We start from the raw sequence: 9548 nt of genomic DNA, 5'->3' as shown, positions 1-9548 counted from the left end.
ATACACTAAATCATCTGGTAGTAGATGAAAATCAAAGGGTGAAGGATGCCTAAACATTAGTAGTCCTACTTTTAAGCAATTTTATAGCATTTATTAGGAGTGAAAAGCTACACATATTAAACAGTTAGGCATAAAAAGAAACACCCTAGAAAGGAATACACAGTAAGATGCAAAACAATCTGAACCAATGCCAAAATCTGAGAGTCAAACAATAAATGTAATTGTAGCTCTCAGACACCATCAGGGAAGATTCCATGGAGAGGTGAGACTTCAAATGGAAAAGGGCCTTTATAGGCTAGTGCAACTTTCTTGGCAGAGACAGAGGGGGCATTTCAGGACGATAAGTTCTTGAACTCTACCATGTTTTGAAATCCTAGTGGTTTGTGTGCAATATTATATAACCTGGTGAGAACCAGACCAGGAATGACAGCCTTATATTCCTGCTACCACCTGGGGAGTTGGGATACAGTTAGAGCTGCTATACAGCTATACAGAAACATGCATCCTGTTTTCTGCATAATCACCATTTTCACAGTCGGCTCTCAGGCTGCCATACTCCACATCAACCAAAGTTTCATGTAGATATTGACAGAAATGTAGATATATAGACATACATTGATATAGATATAGCATAGATATCTTTCCTGATTCTGTCGTTTAAGGCATTCATTCAGGGACAAACAAGAGAGTTCTTTTAATGTTATCATCAGATGCAGGGAAGCAAGAGCTTGAGAGGAACAGGGAAAGACTGATGTGGCTTTATAAACAAAGTATCTGACATCAAGGCATTAAACAATCATTTGTGCTTAGAAAAACTGAAGGAAGTGGCCGGGTGCGGTGGCTCATGCCTGTAATCCCAGCACTTTGGGAGGCCAAGGCGGGCCTTGGTCAGGAGATCAAGACCATCCTGGCTAACATGGTGAAACCCTGGCTCTACTAAAAATACAAAAAAATTAGCCTGGCGTGGTGGCACACGCCTGTAGTCCCAGCTACTCAGGAGGCTGAAGCAGGAGAATGGTGTGAACCCAGGAGGCGGAGGTTGAAGTGAGCCAAGATCGTGTCACTGCACTCCAGCCTGGGTGACAGAGCGAAACTCTGTCTCAAAAAAAAAAAAAAAAAGAAAGAAAGAAAGAAAAATTGAAGGAAGTAAGGTAAGAATCTGCTGTGTCAGTAAAAGCTTAAAGGGGCAGATAAGGATAGAGAGGGAGACAAAAATAATGGTAATAATAATAATAACAAAACACACAGAAGGGATGAGGAAAAAATAAGGGCTTTTTTTGTATACCTGCCCCAGCCTAAAAGGAAAGAACAGGCAGATGGAAGCCCATTGACAAATGGAAGGTCTATTAAATAAACGATTAATACAAAATGATCCACTCACTGAGCTTCACTCACAGAGAAAAAGAAAGACAAGAAGCTGTGGACAATTAGGAGCTACTGCAATATGATCAGAAAGCTGCAGGGAGCAGCCGCCAGAAAGGGGGTGGAGCTCGGGCAGCTGGGATGCAGGCAAATAAGCAGGGCCCGATTTCCAGAGAGCCCAGGGAAATCGGTAATGAACCTGGACCTGCCACAGCTGACATGTCAGAGGGAACAGCACAGTGGGGTCCCAGGGGGTTTCAAAGAGCAAAAGCACAACTCCACATTTCTCAAGAGGCCCAGGAATTAGTGGCCAGTGCCAAGAAATAATAGCATCCAACAATGTCTATATGTGAGTGCACAGTCCATGGTGATATGTGACACTATCTGTGAGTTAATGCTAGCTAAAGCAAGGCTGATCTGTTTAAGTAAATGCATAAGCAAATAAATAGATAGGACAAAGCATACCAGCCACAAAATTGGCATGCTTTTATAATTGGACTACAGTGATGAGAAATTACAAGTCTTTTATCAGAATGCAAAAGGCCTAAGTTCTATTTCCTGTTATTACTATCAGAGTTGCTGAAAACAATTACCTCTAATTTATCACTTACCACATGCCAAGCAATAGTGCTGAGTACTCTATGTGCAACAATTTCATTCAACCTCATAACCCTTATGATATAAGTTTATTCTCATTTTAGAACTCAAAGTGATTAGGCAAATTACCTAAACTCATATTGCTAATAAATGACAGAGGAAAGACAACCCACATCTGTCTGCCACTGAGCAAGCCTCAGTCCTACCGCCAGCCCACAGTGGAACCCTGACTTGGTCCCTTCACCTTCCACACCTTAGTTATTTTCATCTGTGATATGCAGTGAGGTGGGGTGTTGCTCCGTGTTCTTGAATAGTATATGGGTAGCATCTATGGTAGAAAGTACAAAAGCTTAGAATTTGAACAGAGCTGGGTTTAGGTTCTGCTAGTGCCATGATGCTGGGAACCTATTCCAAACCTAGCTTCCTCATTTAGAAATAAGAAAAATCACAACTAACTCATAGGGCAATTGTAGAGTTCAAGGAGATATTATACTTCAGTAGGTGCCTAGTAGCTTTAATATTCTATGATTTTGTTCTAGTTGTAAACTGACCTGACTATAATTACATGAAAAGCAAAAGAAGAAATAGTAATTCACAAAAAGAAAATCTTTTCAAAATTAATGTAGTAAGTTAAATTTATTGAAAAATTATTAATTTAGAAATATGTTATAGACTGTTAGATACTAGAATAATAAATTATTTTAAGGGTGATGTTCAGCCTTTGAGCTTTCATAATTTAGAGAGAAAAGTTATGAGGGTTTTATTCCCCTAAGTCATTCAAAATTGAATTCTGAATCTAGTAGCAGATTCCAGAGCCTCTGAGGATAATGAGGAAATTATCTTCTAAAGGGAACCTGTTTTCAGTGAAGTAAAATATTATGTGTTACCCAATCACTTTCGGTAGAGGGGTTCCATTCATGTAATAGAAATATTTGGTGAAATTTATACCATTTTGTCCTAAGACAATGAACGTTTATTTTTTAGACTCAATGAGCATTTATCTTTGTAACTTCTTCCCCATACCACTTTTAACTGCTTTTTTGGTCATCATTTACTTCAAGAAATCTGACTAAATCAAATTGAATTTAAGTAGTTTCTTGATATCCTTTATTGTACTTGATATGGTCAAAATTAGTCCTCCTCTTCATCAGTTATTGTGGAATCCTTGCAGACAAACAAACAGGAAATGCCCGATAGCTAAATTGGACCAAAAAGTGAACTTCATTCTCCCACCAAAAATGTAGAAATGCAGGAAATTTAACAGTAACCAAGACTGACATCTTCTGCTTCCTAATGATAAAGTAGGAATGAGAAAATAATGATTTTGGTTCATATGTACTGAACACTTACAATGTAGACATTCTTTCTAAGATTTAGGATTCATATTGCTCAAATCCATCATCACACCTGATGCTCACAACAACCCTATGGAGTGAGTGGTGACTGTCACCCTCATTTTACAGTTGATGAAACTGAGGCATAGATAGGTAACTAACTTCCCAAAGCCTCACAGTCCATCAGTGGCAGAGGGGTGTTTTAACCCAGACAATCCTGCTCTGGAGCCCAAGCTTTCAACCACAGATGCCATGGGTATCCATTGTAAAGGCCCCTTTCAAGATTTTAATTACCATTTTATAATGTAGTATTTTTATTAACAGTAATAATGTGTATATTTGAGTAGCCTATTTATGCTCACAAAACATTTGAGATAAGTCTATTTCCCTGGGCCCTCCTGATATAAACAGTACAAACACCATCAATTTGAGTTACAGAAACAGACTCCAAGAGATGGAATGACTTGAGGATCTAAATACAGGACTTCTGACTCCAAGTCCAGAGTCCTGAGAAAAATCAAACCCTGGAATCTGCTGGTGGGTCTGCAGTCACCAGGAACTAACACCTCACAGCATTTTTTTTTTTTTTTTTTTTTTTTTTGAGACGGAGTCTCGCTCTGTCGCCCAGGCCGGACTGCGGACTGCAGTGGCGCAATCTCGGCTCACTGCAAGCTCCGCTTCCCGGGTTCACGCCATTCTCCTGCCTCAGCCTCCCGAGTAGCTGGGACTACAGGCGCCCGCCACCCTCACAGCATTTCTTGAACAGCAAGACTGATTCTCATTGAACATTTACTTTCTGCCAAGGACTATGTAAAGCATTCTATTAATCTCGTGTAAGCCTCTGTCTTAATACTAGGATGTGAGTTCACTTAACACTTATATTTTTAAAGTGAGGGATTTGAAGTCCAGATAGATTAAGCAACTCATCCTAGGCCACATAGTTCCTAATTGACCTGATAACAACCTAACCCAAGCTGGGCTTGGTATTTGAACACACATATATTCAATTGCAAAATTTTCATATTCTTCAATACTAAAAGATAAACCTGATGAGGGCAGATATGGTGGTGTCCTTCCAGAACCTATAGAACTGCTGGCTACAGTCAGTTTCCAACATAGCCCTAGCACGATATATTAGTTATCTACTGATGTGTGATGATATCACCACAAACATGGCAGCTGAAACAACACTCATTTATTATCTCATAGTTTCTGTGGGTCAGGAATCCAGATACAGACTGGCTAAGTCTCTGCAAGGCTGCAATTAAGATTTACTCCTGGGCTGTGATCTCATCTGAAAGCTTGATTGGGAAAAGACCCATTTCCAAGTATACTTGGTTGTTGGCAGGATTCAGATCCTTACAAGAAATCAGAATGAAGGTCTCAGTTTCTCACCGACTGTTGGCCTGAGGCTACCCTCAGTTCCTAGATCATTTTTAGCTAGAAGCCATCCTCAGGTCCTTGACACATGGCCATTCACTACATCACTTCTAGCTCCCACAAATACATCTAGGGTCTTCTAAAATGAAACTTGACAGCTTTATGTCACATAATCCTGAAAATAGCATCCCATCACCTTTGCCATGTTCTCTTGGTAGAAACCAAGTCATAGGCCTTGCCACACTCAAAAAGATGGATACCACAGATATGAGTATTAGAAGGCAAGGATAACTGGGGATGATCCCAGAGTTTGACTAGGGCCACTCCTTCTGAAGTCCAATTCATACAAGTCTATGGTATGAAGAACAGACTTCTGGTTTGATGCAGAGGCAGAAATGGTGGTCCCCTCTCTTGAGAAACCTTGAAATATCAGACAAGAAAGCAAATTTCTCCTGTTTAATGAAATAGGATACATCTGTAATCCTGAACCTCAATATAAAAAGTTCACAAATAATAGAAAAATCTCACAGGGGTGCATAAAGGGCCAGGAAAATATGCTCATGGTTATAGAAATTAGACAAAGCTAGCAGACAGGAGTTCTCAAAACATGAGCATACCCCAAGGTACAAAACCACAGTTTGCAAATCAAATTTTCCATTGACCCTTTTTGGTATGAAGTCTTGAAAAGCTAGGAAGGTGGCGCTGAATGAAGAATCACAAACAAACCATGTTTGCAAGAAGCAGTCTGTCAGGATGACAGGAAGAAAGAAAGAGACTCTATATTGGGAATATTCTGCTGTGCCAATCTAGTTTGGCTGGGGAGGAATGAAGACGAGAGGAACACACACTTACAAAATCCCATCATAAGGAAGATTCCTGCTGGGCTGGCACAGGGCTCTGGCACCTCCCAGACACAAATTTCCTGCACATAGCTTACCCAGAAACAATTCACCTAATTCACACGTGATTATTAACTTAAAGGAATACATATAAGACCAATAAAGGCATTATAAGAAGAAAGGGTAAAAGCAACAGGAAAAGCAAAACAACTTGAAAACACATGCATAAGAAAACTGTTGCAACAGGGCAGGTGAAAATTTTAACAACCACGTCACAATTTAAAAATAATAATGATCCGGGTACGGTGGCTCACGCCTGCAATCTCAGCACTTTGGGAGGCTGAGGCGGGTGGATCACTTGAGGTCAGGAGTTCAAGATCAGCCTGGTCAACATGGTGAAACCCCATCTCTACTAAAAATACAAAATTAGCTGGGCATGTTGGCACATGTCTGTAATCCCAGCTACTCGGGAGGCTGAGGCAGGAGAATTGCTTGAACCCAGGAGTTGGAGGTAACAGTGAGCCAGGATTGCGCCATTGCATTCCAGCCTGGCCAACAAGAGCGAAACTCCATCTCAATCAATCAATCAATCACAATAATGGAGTAACCATTTCCTTCAAAACAAGTCTTTAGGGCAGAGATTAAAGGCTTCAGGGAAGAAGTGGCAAGACAATGGAAGTTGAAATATGAGGTGGGGGAAAAAACGTGAAAATGATCAAAAAACTGAAAAGCAAATTGATAGCACCATAAATGCAAAGAAACTCTGTTGGAAACATAACAAAGAACAAGAAGCAAAGGACTAAGAGAAAGCAAACAAAACAGTGTGGAAGTTTTTAAAAATGAAATCAGCCTGGGCGCAATGGCTCACGCCTATAATCCCAGCACTTTGGGAGGCCAAGGCAGGTGCATCATAAGGTCAGGAGTTCGAGACCAGCCTGACCAACATGGTGAAACCGCATCTCTCTACTAAAAATACAAAAATTAGTGGGGCATGGTGGTTCATGCCTGTAATCCTAGCTGCTCAAGAGGTTGAGGCAGGAGAATCACTTGAACCCGGGAGGCGGAGGTTGCAGTGAGCTGAGATGGCACCACTGCACGATCTGCCTGGGCAACAAGGCAAGACTCTGTCTCAAAAAAAAATACATATATATACACATGCATAATGTGACCCAAATGAATATAGTTCAAATAAAAGGACCAAAACATCATTTTAAAATGTAATTCAATAAATCTTTATAGTAATTAAACAAATTTCGGCTGTACATATTGAAAGACAAACTGTTCCATGACCGATAGCAGAAAAAAATCCAGTAAAATTACTAGACTCCAAAGTGAAGAATTTTTTTTATCCAGCTAGGCAAAAATATTGGGTCACCTAAAGAGAGAAAAAACTAAAAATTGGCTAAATGGTGAGCAGGCTAAATGATAATTGGGCTAATGCAATGAATTAAAACAAACAAACAAACAAAAAACAGTTAAGTTATAAGTGCTTCCAAAGTCCCTGAGGATAAGATGTGACCAGTAATAAGACAGCAGGAAAATCTTTTATGATCCAATTAAGAAATTAAGGGAGACTAGAGTGGAGAAGAATACTGTTGCCCAGGCTGGAGTGCAGTGGTGTGATTATGGCTCACTGAAGCCTAGACAACATAGGCTCAATTGACTCTTCCACCTCAATCTCCCAAATCGCTGCACCACCATGCCCAGCTAATTTTTGTATTTTTGTAGAGACAAGGTTTTGCCATGTTGCCCAGGCTGGTCTCAAACACCTGGTCTCAAGCAATTCGTCTGCCTCAGTCTCCCAAATTGCTGGAATTATAGGCGTGAGCCACCGCATCTAGGCCATATACATAGCTTTTTGATAAAAAGTCTAAATTGTGCTTTAAAAAACAGATGTGGCTTTAATAATCTGAAACGTTTGCATTTTCAGATTAAATTTTGTTTACACTGTAGTTGATATGTTCAATGTTATACTCTGATATGGCACAACTTGTTTAACTTTGTTTCTACAATCCAACAAGCTCTCATTATATAATAAACTGGTTTAAATTGTAAAAAAAAAAAAAAAAAAGTGTTTAAAAGAAAGAAATTAAGGGAGACTGCAGCAAAAGGAAAGTAATGAGCATTGAATCCGCAACTTTAAGACAGTCTAAAGCAGCTGCGGATGTTATAGTTACAGAACACAAGGAAATGTTACGCATCTTTACAATGTAGATAAGAAATAACTAACAAAGTTTAGGAGGGTAAGTGAAGAGGAATGGTGGCAAATAATGTAAGTATTGATTTCCTTATAAAAATACACTATTCAAAGCTGCTAAACCAAACCATATATATATAAATATATTGGAAAAATAGGAAGTTAAACACTAAGAAAAATTACATAGCAAATGGAAATTGAATGGTGTAGAAGAGGAAGAGTGAGGAGAGAAAAAAGTATGCTGATGTTCTTTGCTTACTAAGGATAATCAAGAGACTATCTGTAGAAATAGAAGATTGGTATAGTATGTAAAATTATAGACACAAAAATGATTACCAGCACAAAATATTTACGGCTCTAAAAATATACATATACTATATATATAATGATTTTATATAACATAATACATATTGTTGTTATGGTTAATTTTTATCTGATAACTTGGCTGGGCCATGGTACCCAGATATTTGGCCAAACATTATTCTGGAGATTGCTTTGAAGGTGTTTTTTGGATGAGATTGAATTTAAATTGGTGGACTTTATCCATAATGAGGCTGGGCCTTATCTAACCAGATGAAGGCCTTAACAGAGAAAAAGACTGACCTCTTCTAGACAAGAAGAAATGCTGCCAGCAGACTGCCTTTGGACTCAACTGCAACTCTTCTCTGGGTCTCCAGACTACAAGCCTACCCTCCACAATCACATGAGCCAATTATTTAAAGTAAATCTTTCTCTCTATATTATATGTATACACATCCTATTGGTTATTTCTCTGGGGAACTCTGACCAATACTATCTATCTATCTATCTATCTATCTATCTATCTATCTATCCATAATCTATCAAATGTTAAACTCAAATATAATACATAATTCTAAAACATAACTCTACTCCATGAAAACTGATGAGAGGTGACAGCGTGCTGGCAGCCCTCACGGCCCTCGCTCGCTCTCGGCGCCTCCTCGGCCTTGGCGCCCACTCTGGCCACGCTTGAGGAGCCCTTCAGCCCCCAGCTGCACTGTGGGAGCCCCTTCCTGGGCTGGCCCAGGCTGGAGCCGGCTCCCTCAGCTTGCGGGGAGGTGTCAGTGGAGAGGCGCCAGCGGGAACCGGGGCTGCACGCAGTGCTTGTGGGCCAGCCCGAGTTGCAGGTGGGCGTGGGCTCAGCGGCCCCGCACTCGGAGGGGCCGGCTGGCCTGCAAGCCCCGGGCAGTGAGGGGCTTAGCACCTTGGCCAGCAGCTGCTGTGCTCGATTTCTCACCGGGCCTTAGATGCCTCCCCGCAGGGCAGGGCTCGAGACCTGCAGCCAGCCATGCCTGAGCCTCCCCCTGCTCCCCCTGCTCCCCCTGCTCCCCACTCCCCATGCCGCCGACCCCCCCTCACCGCCACTCCCCCCACGCGCCCCCGCCCCCCCCACGCGCCCCCGCCCTCCCCGCCTCCCGGCCACGCCCCCATTCCCCCACCCCCGTGCCACCTTGCTCCCTGCCCCCACTCTCCCCCGCCACCCCCGCCTCCCGCTCCCTCCCCCCACCCCCCACCCCCGAGCGGTGGTGGGCTCCTGTGGGGCCCAAGCCTCCCCAACGAGCCCAACGCTCCCTGCTCCAGGGCACCCAGTCCCATCCACTGCCCAAGGGCTGAGGAGTGTGGGTGCACGGCGCAGGACTGGCAGGCAGCTCCACCTGCGGCCCTGGTGCAGGATCCACTGGGTGAAGCCAGCTGGGCTTCTGAGTCTGGTGGGGACTTGGAGAATCTTTATGTCTAGCTAAGGGATTGTAAATACACCAATCGGCACTCTGTATCTAGCACAAGGTTTGTAAACACAACAATCAGCACCCTGTGTCT

At 42.0% G+C, this 9548-nt stretch overlaps 1 annotated feature.

Moving 5' to 3' along the window:
* Positions 8221-8721: an enhancer, noted in NCBI's record as "H3K4me1 hESC enhancer chr1:166312727-166313227 (GRCh37/hg19 assembly coordinates)". NCBI's record gives its function as "activates a minimal SCP1, AML or CMV promoter by ChIP-STARR-seq in primed H9 embryonic stem cells {active_cell/tissue: H9 hESC(primed)}" and the evidence as "EXISTENCE:reporter gene assay evidence [ECO:0000049][PMID:30033119]".

Source organism: Homo sapiens, chromosome 1 (genome assembly GCF_000001405.40).
Source record: "Homo sapiens chromosome 1, GRCh38.p14 Primary Assembly".
NCBI classification, from domain to species: Eukaryota; Metazoa; Chordata; class Mammalia; order Primates; family Hominidae; genus Homo; species Homo sapiens.
This window is presented reverse-complemented; position numbering and strand designations above follow the sequence as displayed.